Source organism: Homo sapiens, chromosome 3, assembly GCF_000001405.40.
Source record: "Homo sapiens chromosome 3, GRCh38.p14 Primary Assembly".
Lineage (NCBI taxonomy): Eukaryota > Metazoa > Chordata > Mammalia > Primates > Hominidae > Homo > Homo sapiens.
Window position 1 is genome coordinate 107,452,398 of NC_000003.12, and position 19,081 is coordinate 107,471,478.

Below are 19,081 nucleotides of genomic sequence, written 5' to 3' on the forward strand. Positions count from 1 at the left end.
GCTCGTTTTCCACCAAATGGAAGTCTATAGCTTCTAGAATCTTAGTTGTATCTTGGTGACAAGCTTTTAATTCACTTTAAAAATGTTAACAACCATTTATATTATTAGCAAATCTCTTTTTAAAAGTTTCCAAATGTCTACCCCTTTTCATATAAAAAATAGGCCTTTTTTTTTCAGGAGAGAGAGGAAACTTACTTTGTTATAATACATGGCATGAGTCATGGAAAGAGCTTGAATAATTTGTAGACACGTTGCTATTGAGTCATCGTGAATGATACAAGACCACTTGAATACTGATGAAGTTAAATCCTTTATAATCATAAGAAATAAAAATACTACTACTTTTTTATTTTATAAAACTCAATTTCACTTTTAACCTAGAAGAGACACTGAGGCTAGATAGTAACAATTATCATTCATATATGAGGAAGCTTATTCCCTAAGAAGCCAAATGGGATCTTCAGCAGAGAGAAAGAAGTGGAGGTATAACATGGACTTGAACACAAGTATTACCTCTCCTTATCTAATAAATTCCTTTTTCCACCACAATAGGTAGAATATTATATTAAGAACCAAATTGTCTCAATTGTGACAAACATCTTCAAGGATCTTGTGATTCTAAATGTTTTAAGCTATATGACTGACAGGGTTTGATGGGTGCATTGGAAAGCCAGTGATTTATTATATAATTTAAGTGCCCATCTGTGCAGCTGGGCAAAGACATAGCTGATGAAAATATCAGCTGTCCAGCTGTTTTCTCTGCTCCATAAAGGTCATGAGGATTGCTTATCTGGCTGCCATCACCACTCTAACAACCCCACCTTCTGTCACAAGGATGCTTCATTTCCATACTCTCCTGAAAAAGCAATGACAACAACACTGGTCCTTAATTCTGCAGAAGATCCCAGCTACTTTCTAGGCTAGTTGCAATTTCATGATCCTTGACATTAGTTAAAGAAGTCATCCTCTCAACCTTTGTGTCACTGTGCCTCATCTTCCAGCTAGCTAGCCTGGGACATGGAGGGGCTGTGGTCTGGCCTAGTCTCCTGCATTTAATTTCTATTTCCTTACATTTGCCCTTCCAACCTTTACAACAATAAATAAATTATGCAACACCAAAAACAAGAGACGTGACGTTACCTTCCCACCTTTCAGGAGCTGCTTAGCTACTTATCTATTCTCCATGGCTCTGGGGTTATTGACAAGTGTGATGACTGTAAGAACTGCAGCAGCAAACTTAGCAATAATTTCCAATGGGTCTTGTTTTGTTTTAATATGATTCACTTGAACCATATGGGCCTTAGCAACCCTACTTACTATCCTTTCCATTGAAATAGCTACTCACTAAGTATCAGGGGTTATGGTAGATACTCTGTATATAAGTATGAACAAGAAAGAATGCTGAACAAGATAGTGAGTTGTTGACTGGTAAGTAGGATCAGAAGAAAGGACTGCAAATATATAAGCTATTTATTTAATATGCCATAGGCACAATGGGGATTCAAACTTCATACTACATTTATTGCCTACAACAGTAATTTAGACACATATCAGAAAATCAAGGAGCTGTGAGCAGGGTGACATTAAACATTAATTTCATAGCTATTGATCCTTTTATATGTCTTCCAAAGCCATAAGTAGCAATTTTGACCCAAGTGCAAACAGCAAAATAGTATCCTCAAATCAGCAGCATGGGGAAGCAAGGAGAGAGAGAGGAGGCATCCTGCAGGTATTAAGAGGCTTCCTGATCCTGACTTCTGGCCCCCAACTCCATCATCTCAGCTGGCTGCCAACAGGACTGGCCCAGGGCCCAAGACTGATTTGCCACCTTAATTTGTCAGGGGAGGCTAAGTGGCGAGTGGCTTAAAACCGTGTGCAACTTTTAAAAATCATTATTCCAAAAATATTGGCTGGGCGCGTGGCTCACACCTGTAATCCCAGCACTTTGGGAGGCCAGAGTGGGCAGATCTCTTGAGGTCAGGAGTTCAAGACCAGCCTGGCCAACATGATGAAGCCCTGTCTCAACAAAAAAATACACAAAATTAGCCGGGCATGGTGGCTTTTGCCTGTAATCCCAGCTACTTGGGAGGCTGAGGCCAGAGAATCACTTGAACCTGGGAGACTGAGGTTGCAGTGAGCCGAAATCACTCCACTGTTCTCCAACCTGGATGACAGAGTGAGACTTTGTCTCTCTCTTTCTCTCTCTCTCTCTCTCTATATATATATATATATACACACACACACATATATATACATAGGAGCCCTTTCAATATCAGTGTGTCAGGAAAAGACCTGGTTATCTCATTCTAGTTTTGAAATCTGACTTTTTACCCAAAAGCTGTTAATGCCTTGAGAACAACCTCTAAATGCTATCCATATTGTAAGTAATAAAAAATAGGACTGGTCCTATATACTATGCAAATAGTCAGCACTTCATTAACATTGAAACTCATTGCTAGCGATCATATGGATTTTCAATGATAAAGGTTCTTCTATGTAATATATTCAGAAAAAATATTTACACCATTGAGGAGATTTTAGGTAAAGTCAAGCAACAGAAGACAGCTAGATTTTATTGCAGCATTCTAGTCTCAGTTTCTCTGAACCTCTTATTTTGTGGGGAATGATACAGTTCTGGAGGCTTCTCTTCAAATTTCTCACCCATCACAATAATAATAAAAATATTTGAATAGTGTTTTAAATTTTGCAAATAATTTTCATATTAATTTGCTCATTCCACCTTCACTGATTACACAGCTAACATTCCCTTTTACAGATGATGGGGCAAAGGCTCAGAAAAGTCGTGATATACCCAAAGTCACCCTCCAAATCTCACCCTTTTTCAACTATATCCTAAAGCCGTTTATGTTCCTCTATTTTAGCTTCAGCCATATCTATTGCTCGAACTCTCATATGGGCAATTATGAATCGAAAACTGTTATAAGTAGTATCAATAAAACTAATTAAAATTAAGTTCATAATTACTTATCCTTTCTTGCCTCCTGAGTCATATGTATGAAATTATCATTCAAAGCAAAATTACTGGCATGATAATAAACACATGTGTAGCCCTAACTAGGTATTTCTTTGTTTTCAGTGTGCTAAAATTTATATTCTCACCTGACATATAAGATATGAACATAGGCTGAATTGTGTTCCTCCACCCAAATTAATATGTTGAAGTTCTAACACCCAGTACTTCAGTATGTGTCTGAAGTTTTCACTAACATGGTGGGATTTATGCTGAGCATTAAGGGTGGGTAAGGTTTTGACATAAGTAGCTAAGTAGTAGGAAAAGAAAGATACAATGAAAGTGAAAATTCATAGAGGACAACAAACAGGCAGCTTGGCTGAAGCGGAAAAAGTGATAAAACCAAGTCAATTTGGTTTCTGGGAGGAGAGAACTGAAGAGTGATGGGTAATCTCATTGTGAGAGGAGGGTGTGAGGATGAACTGGACATATTCACTAGCTTCCATTCATAAGTCAGCCTGTTACCCCATCTATAAGAACAACTCCATTCTATGCCTGTCTTAGGCATTTATTGAATCCTTTTTCAGAAATACCCAGGGAAACAAATGCTTCTTCCTGTGGCAAAGTGGCTCTCAGAATCACATGGGGACATTTATTCATTGTCCCCGTCCCAGACATAGTGAAACAGAATCTCTAGGGTCATGTGCTCAACTTTGGCTGTACATTATAAATCACCTGGGGAGCTTTAAAAAATTCTGTTGCCCAGGTTACAGTCAAAACCAATTAAATCAGACTTACTGGTGATGGGAGCTAGGCATCAGTATTTTTCTAAAGCATCTCCCGCCCCCTCCCCACCTTCCACCAGCCACAGGTGATTCCAACATGTAGCCAAGTTTTGGCTACTGCTATGCAGGTGATTCCAACATGTACCCAAGTACAGGCTACTTCTATGCAGTAGGGCCTGGCTATCTGTGCTTTTAGTAAGCCTCCTGAATGATTCTAGCCAACCCATGAAAAACATTTGATCCTCAGCACCAAGGCATCTATCTTCTATTCCTTGGTTAGCTTTCTCTAATCCCCTAACAAAAAAGAAACATGTTTCCTCTTGTTCTCCACTCTTGCCTATCAAGAAAACTTTGCACTTATTTAGCTAAACTTACTTCCCTATTTGGCAAGATAAAAAAATAGTGTTACACACAAAACATACAACATAGCATCAGGGTCCTAAAATCAACTTAACATCAAGGCCCTTTACAAGCTATACTATGTATGGATGAGTTCAAGAAGAAGAGTGTTGAAAAATAAGACACTTATGGACCAGATTGTGGAAGGACCAGTTTTTCAGCTACAGAGTCAATGGCCTTGAAAAAATAATACAGCAGGAGATTGGCAAGATCAACATAAATTTTAAGGAAACTATAAAGAAAGTAATAAAACAAAAAATGTGAGAGGCAGTGTAAAGGAGGAACAATTGAACTTGAGTGATAGTTAAGTATGTGAGAAAGTTGGGAATTAAAGACGTGATTCTGAAGTTGTAAGCCTGGGTGATAGAAAGAAATGACAGAAATGGGAAAATGAAGAGAAGGGACTGGATTTTCTAGGGGGAAAGTGGATACTATTACATTTGGGATTAAGTTTTTTAAAAAAAGAAAAAATAGGGGGAAAGTGGGGAGGGAAAGAGGACTGAATTAGGTTTTACTTGTCTGAGATAACATGGCGTTTAGAAAGCAAGGCCAGTCTAGAGACAGAGATTTCAAATCTTCTGCCAAGGAGTCTCAGGTGCAGCCAAAAGAGAATACTGGGAAAGATGAGTAGAGAACCAAAGACAGAAATTTGAGAAATTCCAGTAGAAAAGTAAGTGGAACCAATGAAGCCAAAAAAGAAACATCTATAGATCAGCAGGAGGAAAACCTGGATAAAGTCACAGAAGAAGAGAAAGGGGAAAGAGGAAGTGATCCATAGTGTGAAATGGCTAAGGAGAAGGAAGCCTAAGATAACAGATATGATAACTGCTCATTTCATAGCAGTGCCTAAGAGCTATCATTGGCTTTCCACTGCCTGCAGGTTAATATTAGCCTGACAAGAAAAGGCCTTTATAGTTGGCTCTAGTATACCTTTGTGATGCTTTATCTCCCAACTGACACTGAACTACATACTAAATATGTATTGCTACTATGTTCTCCTAAGCTTTTTTATACATGCTACTTTCTTTACTTGATGACATTTTACTCATTCCTCAGGATTCAGCTCATTATGCCAGTTCCTCCATGAATCCTGGTATACTCCTAGTCCCAATTTCAATAATGTCTAGTCAGTGCTTTGTCAATGCTAACACTTCAGTTTGTACATACCTTAACGGTAGAACTTACCACATGGCATCATCATTTTTTTACCCATCTGTTTCAGTTATCTATTGCTATGTAACAAATCATTCCAAAACATAATGACTTAAGTAATAACTAAGTTATTATTGTCTCAACATTCCATGGGTTGACTGGGATCTGCTATGTGGTTGTTCTGCTCCACGTGACATCAGCTGGAGCTACAGTCAACTTTAGGGCTCCATAAAGATGGAGCATGTAAGACAGTTCACTCATACGTCTAGGACCTTGGCTGAGATAGTTGGAGGATTGGGCTCAAGCTGGGATGTTGGTGTTGGGAAAGCTGGGCTTCTTTCTCTTCATGAGGTCTCTCCACATGTTTTTTCATGTGGTCCCTCCACCAAAGCAGCCCAACTTCTTATACAGCTGCTCAGGGTGTAAGAGCGTTCCAAAAGGAAGGAATCAGAAGCTGTCAGTCCTCTTAAAGGGGGCCCTGAACTGGCACTGTGTCACCTCCACTGCTATTAACACAAGTCGGGGCCAGGAACTGCTCAAAGGCATGAAAGGACACAGTTCCATAGGGACCACTTTGGAGCTGTCACCCTTATTAATCTGCTACTTGCTTGAAGAGCAAAGATTATATCTTTTTCATCTTTGTGGCCCAAGTACCTACTGGGGAACTTAACACATAGTGGACACCCATTAAATGATGGTTGAGTTGGATCTTGAGAATTGAGGAACAGGCCAAGTTAAGAAAAGTAAGGGCCAATGCCAAGTTGGGGATGGAAGTGGAAGTATCTCAATTTTCAACTTCTGGTGTTATATCAAAAGGAGGCCACACCTGCTGTCATCAATTTTTTATCTGAATTTAAAATGTTAATCTATTGAGTGGGAACATTTAAAATATGTCATAATTTGTGTAATCCTGTTTAGCGTATTAAAAAATACAGAAATGCTAAACAGGATTACACATATGGAAGTGGCCTGAGATGCTCCTGACAAGTTGAGAGTCCCCAGGAATAACCATTGTTAAGTGTACATGTGAGATAGTAACTTTTAAACTGTGTTGCTAAGAGAAACCTGAGAGTTCAGTAGAACTCCCTCAGGGACCACTTTAGAGGGAATGGGAATGAAGGGTCTGAGCTGAGCCTATGGGCCTGTGGACTCACAACCCATCCCTATCCAAACAAGGAAGCTTTTATTGATTTCACTTTTTTTTTTTTGACACAAATAAGGTTTTATTTGGAAAACAAAGGCAGGTTTTGGGTTTTTCCCCCTGCTAAATACATTGTGAAACTTACATGCTAGGAAAAAAAGAGGAGATGAATAACAAGATTAACCATGAAGACTTGGCTGGAACTGGACAGCCTAAATTGGCAGCAGGCCAGAACAGCATGGTCCTATTGGCAAGGCAAATATAAGAAGGGATTAAAATGACCAAGCTGTCTAGGGAGACAGTATGGAGGAGGGAGAGTGACATACTTTGAGTGTAGAGCCCAGATTTTAGTCCAGCTTCATCACAAACTAGCTCTATAGCCTTGGATAGGACACTTAACCTGAGTGGATCTCAGTTTCCCCATTTGCAAAACAAGGTCATTGGTCTAAATGACTTTCGAAGTCTGGGGTTCCTACTCTAAGACTCTGTGATTCCAGGGGGTTAATGTAGCAGTGCAGGTGATTGACAGTAATTTCCAGGCTTCACATTTATTCATTATTATCAGAGTAACCCCATTTTTGCATGGTATGAGGACCAGAAAAGAAAGATGAAAAGTTTAGGAGTTTGATATTGCAGTATAGAGTTCTTAGCTCAGATAATATCTGATATTAACTGGGCATTAAATACTGCTATTGTACTAAGCACTCTATCCATAACATAGCATTTAATTCTCACAACATCTCTATCAGGTAGGTACTGTTATCCCAATTATAAAGATGAATAAATTGAAGTTTAAAAGACTGTCATTTGCCTAGGGTCATACACCTAATAAGGGATACAGCAGGGGTTTAAATCCAGGGATTCAAATGCATATCTTTATTTTTTCCCCTATTCATGTAAAGTCTGCCCATATTATAAAGTCCTAAAGAACTAGGCTTCTTACCAGCTTAACTCACTTTATACAACCATAGCACATGGCTTCAGGCATGCTGGCACCTAGTGGGAATCTTTTTATAATGATGATGCCAGTAGTGTTGACAATATTAATGCTGGTTAAACAGAATTTATCTTTGAAATGCAAGTTAACAAACAGAATCTAGAATTTCAATATCAGTTCTATTCCACTGCTTGTATGTAATTCTACAGGAAACTCTACTGCTAAAAAGAAACTATGAAAGAATGGATGCATTTTCAGAGAAGTTCAAAAATTTCAAATTCTACTCTATGAATTAGGTAGATGTGTAGGTGGCAGAAGTGTCCAAAATATTTCACATTTTGGTAGCTTGTAAAATAGATAAGTTTAAAAAAACCTTATATTTGTAAAACATTACCAGACCACAGAGAAACTTCATAAATACTATTTCAGTTAATTTTCACAACCCCATGAACATTATCATCCCATTTTAGAGATCTAAAAACTGAGGTTTATATAAGTTAAATTTTTTTGCCCAGGGTGAGATAGCTAGTAAGTGGAAGCAAATTTTTATCTTTAGACTCCAAGTCCAGTGTCTTTCCATTACACTACAAGATACTTTACTAAAATGCACATTATGTATCAGTAAAATATAACAGCTATTACCTGCTAGAATAGAATTGATTAGTTTTGCCCCCTAGAGGATAAAATTATATATTTTCCAAAGATTTGGTTGCTACAGGTAACAACTTGGAGTTATAATATTAATAATATTGTATTAATATTGTATATTTATATAATAATATTGTGATATAGATGGATTAAAATATGTGGCTAACACTTTAAAAGAGGCAAATAAAAACAAAACCAAACATAAGTTTTTTTTTGAGATGGAGTCTTGCTCTGTCCCCTAGGCTGGAGTGCAATGGCGCGATCTTGGCTCACTGCAACCTCCGCCTTCCTGGTTCAAGTGATTCTCCTGCCTCAGCCTCCTGAGTAGCTGGGATAACAGACATGCATCACCACGACCAGGTAATTTTTGTATTTTTAGTAGAGACAGGGTTTCACCATGTTGGCAAGGCTGGTCTCGAACTCCTGACCTCAAGTGATCCACCTGCCTCGGCCTCCCAGAGTGCTAGGATTACAGGCATGAGCCACGGCGCCTGGCCCAAACATAAGTTTTGTTGTTGTTGTTGTTGTTGTTGTTTTAAATTAGGACTGTGAGCACAGCTAAATGCACTATTCTGTGTATATAGGACTAGGTAATGTATCGCTATTTTAATGTTTTTAGGATTTTAAACCTAACTATTATAAATCAATAGTTTATGGTTGGACTTTAAGCTACTAGGGGTTTTGATATTTAAAGAGCTTAATTTTCTTGATCACAAGGAGAAAGCTTATATGCAGTATGTTCTTTAAATCCATACAGATTTGGAGCATCCTCTGGCTCTATTGCTAACTACCTGTGTGACCTTGAAGAAATGCATTAACCTCTGTATCTATGTTTCCTCAAATTTATATGGGGCAATCATTCCTATGATTGCTTTGAAAATTAAATATGGAAGTGTCAACAAAGCATATGGTGGAGGATCTGGTGCTCAAAGAATATTAGTTATCTTCCTTAAGGAACTTGTGAGTATTGGTATATTGGGCTACAATGTGCCTGCTACAAAACCAAAACCAAAAACCCCTTCATCTCTACTTGTCTCTACTACTAATGTCAGATAGTAGACATTAATATCTGACATTAAAGAGTGAGCTATTTAGCACCCCCTCTGGTACCTTGTTCACAGCCAGGAACTTGGTAGGTGCCCAATAAATGTTAGTTGAATTAAACTGAAATCAAATTACCACATCCCCCCAGGGTCTCAAGTGTTTAATTAGAAGCCCACCATAGTCAGTATCTCATTGGCCAGTATTCGGCCAATATATAAAAGGATGTTGTCCTTGTAACATTCCTCCTTGGTCTCTGGGCCCTGCTTTTTTGTCATGGTTCATTCCAGCTGAACTAAAATTTCCCCAAACATGACTGAAGCGATGGGCCGAATCTAACAAGATTAAGTTTAATAGGGATAAATGTAAAGACTTATACTTCAGTCCAAAAAGAATCCTGTACAAGTGCTAGATGGAGAATATGGGGATTAGCAGCAACATGTGTGAAAAGGACTTAGGGGTTTTAGTTGATATTAAGCTCAATTAGTCAACAGTGTGCTTTTCCTAACAAGAAAGTTGACGTGAACTGAGCCTGCATTAACTCCTGCACCAGCCTGGCGATTACCCGACTGCACTAGTTTTCAAACTTTAGCTATATCAGAATCACCTGGCAGGCTTGTTAAAACACAGACCATGGCCCCATCCCCCAGAGTTTCTGATTCAGTAGGTCTGGGGTGGGGCCTGAGAATTTGCATTTCTAATGAGTTCCCAAATCAGTGCTAATGTTGCTGGTTCTGGGATCATACTTTGGAAATCACTGCCCTCCTTTATTTTGCCTGGTCAGGTAACACGGGTACTATTAGTAACAAAAATAGTGAAGAGACTGAAAACATAAGAGGGACAAGGAAGGAAGGAAAGAAATGAAGAGTTGTTATGTGCTATAGTGATATTAGTATGAATAATAATAATAGCTAACATTTGTTGAGAGTTTATTATGGGCTGGAAGTTCTACCAAACATATCATATGCAATTAATGACGGTAATAATAATAACTACCAACCAGATAGCACTTACTGTGTGCCAAGTTTTGTTCTATATGCTTTACATATTTCACCCTTACAACAGTCCTAAGAGGTACATATTACTATGCTCATTTTTCAGATAAGGACACTGCAGCCCAGAGAAGAAACCTGCAAAGGCCGTGTTCACACACTCACAAGAGATATGGCTGTGATTTGGATCCAGATGTGATGGGCTGACAACAAAACTCCTGTGATACCATGAAGTCTTCGGGAGGCAGAATTGAAGTGAACATGAAGTTTAGCTTAGAGAAGAAAAGAATAAATACATACAAAACATTTGATGGTGAATAAACAGAAAATGGTGTATTCAACAGAATTTGACTCAGCAATAAAAATGAACCAAACTATGGAAAACAACACCCAACAACAGGAAGAAATCTCAAAATAATTATGGTGAGTGAAAGAGGCCAGACCAAAAAAAAAAAAAAAAAAAGACTAGAAAATGTTAACTACCCAATAGTGATGAAAAACAAGCAGATCAGTGATTGCCTAGGGAGTGGAGGGAAGGGCACCCTGAAAAGAGGTAGGAAGGAAGGGATGATAAACAGGCAGAAGGAAACTTTTGAGGGTGGTGGATATATTCACTACCTTGATGGAGATGCTTGCAAGGGTGTCAAAATGCATCACATCGTATGCTTTAAACATGCACAGTTTATCGTATGTTAATTATAGTTCAATGAAGCCAAAAAACATATTTGAATTTAAATATGTTTAGTACAATCCACAAATCCTATGAAGTAGACCAGTATTATTGTTCTACTAATAACAGATTGAAAATTGTGTTCAGTATACCTATAAAACAGGTAATTTTGACAAATAGCCCCTTCAGCATATCTAATGTATACTCAATATGTCTTACCAATTTCCAAGTAGAAATTATCCATTAAGTAATAACTTAGGTTCTATTAAAACCTAATTCAATGGAAAAAACCTATTACTAAATTCTAGCTTATTAAAAACCAGTTTGGCCATAAGAGGTCACGAATTCTAAAAACTAATAATACTTAAATAAATTACTTAAAATTACTTAAGTATTAAATAATACCTAAATATATTTACAATAATAATAGTAGTAGTAGAAGTAATGCCATTTCCTTATTAAGTTTCCCATTTTAAAAAATACCTTAAAAACTCTGAAATTTTTCTTCTGAAATAAATAAGAGGATAGATAGAATTATTCTCATTTACCAGACATTAATTTTTAAATTGCCCGAAAAATGCCTTTTCTACAACTTTTTTTTCATAACTGCTTTGATAAGAAGAATCACAATCTGTTTGGAAGTTTGCTTTGCTCAATGTCATAAGTTGGTTTACAATTCAATCGAATGCCCTGGTTTGTCACAGGAGCTCACCAATAAGCAAAACAGCCAAGCCTTTTGAAGACTAATTAGAAAAAGTACAATAAAATTAATTCACACAGCACATGTGTTTTCTTAGACTTGGAAGAAATATACTGTCTGTGAGCAAAGAATTCTAATCACATTTGGAGGCACTGCTATAGAACTGTTCCTGGGATTTTTCAGGATTATTAACACATGCTGTTCTCTAATTATTTGTGATTTAGTAGACACATAAAACTCACCTGATTAAGCAATCAAAACTGAATCTACGGCAGAGGTGGGTCTCATGCCCTCTGCATCTTTATTCTAATTTCAAGACAGAACTGAAGTGTTTCTATCCCCTGACTCTATCCCTAGGGAGAACAAAGTCATACAAGTCAAAGATAAACTAAAGGATACAGCTGGGCCTCCAAGATAAGGAGGAGTAGAGTGTGGGGAAACAGGAGTAAAGACCAAGTTCTCTGGTTCAGGAAGATCGATCCTCATCCCTCTATTGCCTGGAGGGGTGGTTTGGGAAGGAGGAGAAAAGGCCTAGAGGAGATGGCTTCCACCTGCCTGGAAGGTGGCCCAGAAAGAAAAGGAGTACACAGATTCAGTTTCAGCAAGGGACAGAGATCAGGGAGGAATTTGTGAGAAAGGCCATAGTGAAATAATCATGTAAGTGCCTTTGCCATTTCTCCCTCATTCCAAACTATATGGGGGTAGATGACTGCATGAAATCTCAGAATCCCAAGACTGGGGTCTTGGCTTTTAACAACTGACAATCAAGTGGGAAGGAATGCAAGCATATACTTCTAGGATGAATTATTGAAGTTCCTTTTTTTTTTTCTTTTTTTGAGTCAGGGTCTTGCTCTGTCACCCAGGCTGGAGTGCAATGGCACAATCTCGGCTCATTGCAACCTCAACCTCCTGGGCTCAAGCGATCCTCCCACCTCAGCCTCCCAAGTAGCTGGGACCACAGATGCAAACCACAAAGCCCGACTAATTTTTTTATATTTTTGGTAGAGACGGGGTTTCCCCATGTTGCCCAGGCTGGTCTTGCACTCCTGGGTTCAAGTGATTTGCCTACCTTGGCCTCCCAGAGTACTGGGGTTATAGGCATGAACCACCACACCTGGCCCTATTATTGAGTTCTATTAAGAGCCAGCCCTACCCAAAAAATCTTTGATGTCTTCCACTGGGGGATAGATAAGGGTTCTAGTATATTAAGAAATCACAGAATAATAAGAAAAAAAAATCACAGAATCATGTTTACATAGCACCTCTATAGACTCAGTCATAATCTGGATTTCTCATGTGTGTCCAGGGATACATCATTTAATCAAGAAACACTAAGAACAAAATCTTGCGGAGAAGGATCTCAGTAACTGGTGGGTAACCAGGACTGGTTTCACAAGTGTAGGACTTATACAGTAACACCAGTAACACAGTCCCCAAGCACCTCTCCCCGACCTGCCCCACATCCCTACTTGGTTTAATGCTCTACTGTGCTAAAAAAATTCTTAATACATTTTGAACAAGGAGTTCTGCATTTTCATTTTGTATCAGGCAATAAGTTTGTAGCCAGTCCTGAGGTTAACAATGTAAGACCTGGATTACAGACCTCTCCTTTCTGGGAAATCCCTTCTGTCTGGGCACCTTATTACTAGTTGCAATATTTGTCAGATGTTTTTCAAAAGGGAACATAATTAAAATAAACTGCTACTCCCTAACCATGTGTTTTATTGTTCTTTAATAATAATTTTGGGCCGGTGTGGTGGCTCACATCTGTAATCCCAGCACTTTGGGAGGCAGAGGTGGGAGGATTACTTGAGGTCAGGAGTTCCAGACCAGCCCGGCTAACACAGTGAAACCCCATCTCTACTAAAAATACAAAAATTAGTCAGGCATGGTGGTGCATGCCTGTAATTCCAGCTATTTGGGAGGCTGAGGCAGGAGAATTGCTTAATCCCAGAAGGTGGAGGCTGCAGTGAGCTGAGATCATGCCACTGCACTCCAGCCTGGGTGACAGAGTGAGACTCTCTCTCAAAAAATTATAATAATAATTTTTAAATTTTGCAGGGTGAGCCATTAAAAGTGGCTCACACTTGTAACGCTAGCACTTTGGGAGTCCAAGGCAGGAGAATTGAGTGAATTCAGAAGTTCAAGACCAGCCTGGGCAACAGAGTGACAACTCATCTCTATTAAATTAAAAAAAAAAATCAGCCAGGCATGGTGGTGTGTGCCTATTGTCCCAGCTACTTTGGAGGCTGAGGTAGGAGGATCACTTGAACCCAGGAAATTGAAGCTGCAGTAAGCCGAGATCATGCCACTACATGCCAGCCTGGGCAAGATAGCAAGACACTGTCTCAAAAAAATAAAATAAAAATAAAAAATATTTTTGGAATCAAGCATACATTGTGTGTGAGACATCAGGTAAAGTGCTAATACTATAAAGAAACATAAATGCCAGAGATGTAATCCTAAGTATAGTTTCCTGCAGAATTTTTTTCTTTATGTACCTTTGAGTTGTATCTGTATTCCTTTTAGCAGAGTAACTGCATCTGAACAACTACATCCACAAGCTCTCTGGCCATATCTATATGCACAATCTATTCAAAAGTATTTCATCAACTTTTATCTCCATTGTAAAATTACGCAGATATTTGGATCATCCCAAGAAGTAAAGGTCTCTACATGTGAGTACAGACTGATCCCTTAATTTGTTCCTTCTTGGCTGCCAATGCCACTGGCAGAGGAACCTCTAACACTATTTTCTAAGGGACAAGGCCCAAGTGAAATTCTGATCTACCAAGACTTGCTAATTATTAAAGTAAAGCTGAAACACCACACACAGAAAGAGTTGCTTTATAAGAGCGGTAAGAATAGGTCCAGGCCATACAACACTGATTTCCACACACACACCTCTATTGTTTTGTGTTATTTTGTTTCCTTTAACTAAGCTAACTTTTAAAGGGTTATGTCTACAGCAGCCTAGCAGACACACAACTGTGTCTGTTAACAATGAATTAGATTTTCTGGTTGCAGAAAAGTTACAAGATCTGGGCCTCTTTGGGGTGAAAACACAGAGCTAAATGTGAATAAATGCTGCAGTAGAGATGATGGCCAAAAAGAATGAAGACTACACAATTAGGATATTCAGAGACTGTTAATGTGAATCACACACTCTCTCTACAAGATCTTGATTTCAATAATTGTCAAATTAATTTCATAAGTACAGTAAAACCTCATTAATTTGGATGCTCTCAACTTAAAATTTGTATAAGTAATATAATAGAACTCCGCTGGTTTATCTTTCTATAGTGGGCACAAAAATGACAGGTATAGGCCAGATGCCGTGGTTCACGCCTGTAATCCCAGCACTTTGGGAGGCTGAGGCAGGCGGATCACTTGAGGTCAGGAGTTTGAGATGAGCCTGGCCAGTATGGTGAAACCTCGTCTCTACTAAAAATAGAAAAATTAGCCTAGCGTGGTGGTGCACGCCTGTAATCCCAGCTACTCAAGAGGCTGAGGCAGGAGAATCACTTGAACAGCAGGTAGAGATTGCAGTGAGCCAAAATCGCACCACTGCACTCCAGCCCGGGCAACAAAATAAACCACCTCTTTAAAAAGAAACAATTTTAAAACACCCTCATGTGCTTTAAAATTCTTGGTTTCATTAAATAATAATTTGGGCTGGGCATAGTGGCTCACACTTGTAACAACAGCACTCTGGGAAGCCAAGGCAGAAGGATTGCGTGATGAGCTCAGGAGTTTGACACCAGTGAGGGCAACAGAGTGAGAACTCGTCTCTATTTAAAAAAAAAAAAAAAAATAGCCAGGCATGGTGGTGTGTGCCTGTTGTCCCAGTTACTTGGGAGGCTGAGGTAGGAAGATCATTTGAACCCGGAAGATTGAGGCTGCACTGAGCTGAGATCATGCCACTGCATGCCAGCCTGGGCAACAGAGCAAGACACTGTCTCAATAAAATAAAATTTAAAAAATTAATAAAACATATTTTTGGAATTGAGTATATACTGGGTGCAACACATCAGGTGAGGGGCTAGTATTATAAAAAAACATAGATCAAAGGTCTGTCTTTAGTGAGCTTAGAGGCCAGTGGGTGAAACGGGTCAGGTACATGGAAATGTGACTCTCAATACCAGGTAACTCAAAAACTATGGAATGAGGCTGGGTGTGGTGGCTCATGCCTGTAATCCCAACACTTTGGGAGGCTGAAGCAGGAGGACTGCTTGAGGCCAGGAGTTGGAGACCAGCCTGGGCAACCTAATGAGACTTTGCCTCTACTAAAAATTTAAAAATTAGCTAGGCCTGATGGTGCACACCTGTAGTCCCAGCTACTAAGGAGGCTGAGGAGGGAGGATCGCTTGAGCCCAGGAGATCAAGGTTGCAAGAGCTATGACTGCGTTGCTGCACTCCAGCCTGGACAACAGAGTGAGATCTTATCTCAACAACAACAACAACAACAACAAAAAGTATGGAATATGAAGGCTACAGATAATTTGTTCTGTTCATTAGAGCGGAGCTTCTAAAGTATGATGTGGTCATTGCTCTATAGAGAATTATTGTAAATACTTAATTTTTTTTATCTTTTTATTTTAAGTGCCATAATGCAGATTTTCCTCTTCATTGAAGCACTTACACTTAACCTTTAGTTGTTGAACGCCTACTTCGAGTAAGAGATTGTGCTAGGTATTGAAAGGAACATGCTGAGAAAGATGCTGTTTCTGATCTCAACGACTTTTCTCAAACGAGTATTGCCCACGCTAAATGAAGTTAGGAAGGGGAAAGTCTAAGTAGCCTGCTATGAGAGCACAGGGACTGTGTATTACATTAGCTTCCACCAGAAGCCAACCATGAGACAAGAATGCATGCACAAGTTGTTTATTTGGGAGGTGATCACAGACAGCACCAAAAGGGGAGTCAGGAAGTTAGACTAGCCGATAGCAAAAGGTATATTATGGAACAGATTCCTGCTGTGAGCAACTGGGGCTCAATGTTGCTGGGGAGCTCTGGGGACAGAACAGAAGATGCCTTCGTTAGCCTGAGGGGCAAGGACACTCAGGTATTTATCTTCCAGTTTGCTTCCTCCATTGGTTAAAGGCTACTCCTGAGGAATGAAAACTTCTGGCACTTGTGAGCTGCCCTGGTACCAGGTGCAAGAGGAATGTCCTCAGGCAACTGCTCACAGCTGGAAACCTAACTATGTTCCTGGAGATGATGTGCCTGGGGGAAAGGGCAGGATGCTCATTGTATCTCCCATGCAAGGGGGAAATATGATTCCAGATTTGATTATGAAAGAAGGCTGCTGGCAGAAGTGGTATTTTTAGTAGGGCCACACAAAGATGGAGGTAGTGATGGAGGAATGACAAACTCGGCTGTAGTAACTACAAGACTAAAAGCAAAGAGATGGAGAAGGGTGCATAGTCATCACTAAAAGCAAATATCCCTGCATAAACAGAGTTTAGGGTTCACAAACGAGGAGGAATAGAGGGAAATATGGCCAAAAGACAAACAGTAATCAGAAAGAGGCCTCTTTACATGTCCTGTCGAGCAACTTTAAACTCTATCCCGTAGGGTCTCTATCCTGTAGTCAAGGAGACTAAATATGTTTGATTACTGGAGTGACATGATTAAATTTTTATTTTAGCAAAATTACTCTAGAAATTTTGGCACAATGTTTCAGATGGCTTGGAGGAAGGGACAGGAGACTATCATTAGAGCCAAGGTGAGACATAATCAGTGATGGTACAAGGGCATTAACAGTGAGAACAGAGAAAGGAAATAGGTGGAAGACACTCTGAGAGATGCTCCCGGGACTGCACACCAGAAAGGAAGATGGAGAAGAAGAGGAGGGTCTCAGAAATGAAGCCCATGACTCACTGGATTGATGTTGTCTTAAACTGAGGTAATATATTATAGCAGGAAGAAGAGAATTTGTGGTTGGGGTTTGGATCTGTTGAATGCAAGGCGGACTATTAATCTGGAGAAGTCTGGCAGGTAAGGTGTATCCAGAGAGCCAGAGCCAGAGGTATACATTTGGGATGCATCCAAACAAACTGACCAAGGAAAAGGATAAAATGAGACAGCTTCAGTTTGGTATTCCCCCATTATTAATTCCGAATTAATAATGTTTTTCCATAAATATAACTTGGAACAATCATTTCAGGATACTCACTAATTGGGATATAGAATTTCCTTTTCTAATTTTTGTTTTAAGGAGGAGGGCTGGCAAGATGGCCAAATAGGAACAGTTCCGGTCTGCAGCTCCCAGCAAGATCAACACAGAAGGCAGGTGATTTCTGCATTTCCAACTGAGGAACCAGGCTCATCTCACTGGGACTGGTTAGACAGCGAGTGCAGCCCACAGAGGGTGAGCAGAAGAAGGGTGGGGCGTTGCCTCACCCAGGAAGCACAAGGGGTCAAGGAACTCCCTCCCCTAGCCAAGGGAAGCCGTGAGGGACTGCACCATGAGGAATGGTGCATTCCGGCCCAGATACTATGCTTTTCCCACGGTCTTTGCAACTCGCAGACCAGGAGATTCCCTCGGGAGCCTACACCACCAATGCCCTGGGTTTCAAGCACAAAACTGGGCAGCTGTTTGGGCAGACACCGAGCTAGCTGCAAGAGTTTTTTTTTTCATATCCCAGTGGCACCTGGAACACCAGTGAGACAGAACTGTTCACTCCTCTGGAAAGGGGGCTGAAGCCAGTGAGCCAACTGGTCTAGCTCAGTGGATCCCACTCCCACGGAGCCCAGCAAGCTAAGATCCACTGGCTTGAAATTCTTGCTGCCAGCACAGCAGTCTGAAGTCGACCTGGGACACTCCAGCTTGGTGGGGGGGCAGGGCGTCCACCATTACTGAGGCTTGAGTAGGCGGTTTTCCCCTCACAGTGTAAACAAAGCCACCAGGAAGCTCGAACTGGGTGGAGCCCACTGCAGCTCGGCAAAGCCGTTGTAGCCGGACTGCCTCTCTAGATTCCTCCTCTCTGGGAAAGGCATCTCTGAAAGAAAGGCAGCAGCCCCAGTCAGGGGCTTATAGATAAAACTCCCATCTCCCTGGGACAGAGCACCTGGGGAAAGGTGCAGCTGTAGGCGCAGCTTCAGCAGACTTAAACGTTCCTGCCTGCCAGCTCTGAAGAAGGCAGCGGGTCTCCTAGCACAGCCTTCAAGCTCTGCTAAGGGACAGACTGCCTCCTCAAGTGGGTCCCTGACCCCCATGTCTCCAGACTGCGAGACACCTCTCAGCAAGAGTCAACAGACACTTCATACAGAAGCGCTCTGGCTGGCATCTGGCAGGTGCCCCTCTGGGATGGAGCTTCCAGAGGAAGGGACAGGCAGCAATCTTTGCTGTTCTGCAGCCTTTGCTGGTGATACCCAGGCAAACAGGGTCTGGAGTGGACCTCCAGCAAACTCCAGTAGACCTGCAGCAGAGGGGCCTGACTGTTAGAAGGAAAACTAACAAACTGAAAAGAATAGCATCAGCATCAACAAAAAGGATGTCCACCCAGAAACTGCACTCAAAGGTCACAAACATCAAAGAACAAAAGTAGATAAATCCAAGAAGATGAGGAAAAACCAGCACAAAAAGGTTTAACATTCCAAAAACCAGAAAGCCTCTTCTCCAAAGGATCACAACTCCTCA

General features: G+C 40.3%; 1 long non-coding RNA gene across 1 annotated transcript in view, besides 2 other annotated features; it reads left to right on the plus strand.

Moving 5' to 3' along the window:
• The window catches only part of LINC01990 (long intergenic non-protein coding RNA 1990), a 32,983-nt gene extending 21,468 nt beyond the window's left edge, over positions 1–11,515 (plus strand). Inside the window, exons 2-3 of the long non-coding RNA NR_110039.1 lie at positions 8,276–8,393; positions 10,176–11,515. This is a non-coding gene — a long non-coding RNA (long intergenic non-protein coding RNA 1990). The remainder of the gene's footprint in view (positions 1–8,275; positions 8,394–10,175) is intronic.
• Positions 17,538–18,276: an enhancer, noted in NCBI's record as "H3K27ac-H3K4me1 hESC enhancer chr3:107188782-107189520 (GRCh37/hg19 assembly coordinates)". NCBI's record gives its function as "activates a minimal SCP1, AML or CMV promoter by ChIP-STARR-seq in naive H9 embryonic stem cells {active_cell/tissue: H9 hESC(naive)}" and the evidence as "EXISTENCE:reporter gene assay evidence [ECO:0000049][PMID:30033119]".
• Positions 18,277–19,015: an enhancer, noted in NCBI's record as "H3K27ac-H3K4me1 hESC enhancer chr3:107189521-107190259 (GRCh37/hg19 assembly coordinates)". NCBI's record gives its function as "activates a minimal SCP1, AML or CMV promoter by ChIP-STARR-seq in naive H9 embryonic stem cells {active_cell/tissue: H9 hESC(naive)}" and the evidence as "EXISTENCE:reporter gene assay evidence [ECO:0000049][PMID:30033119]".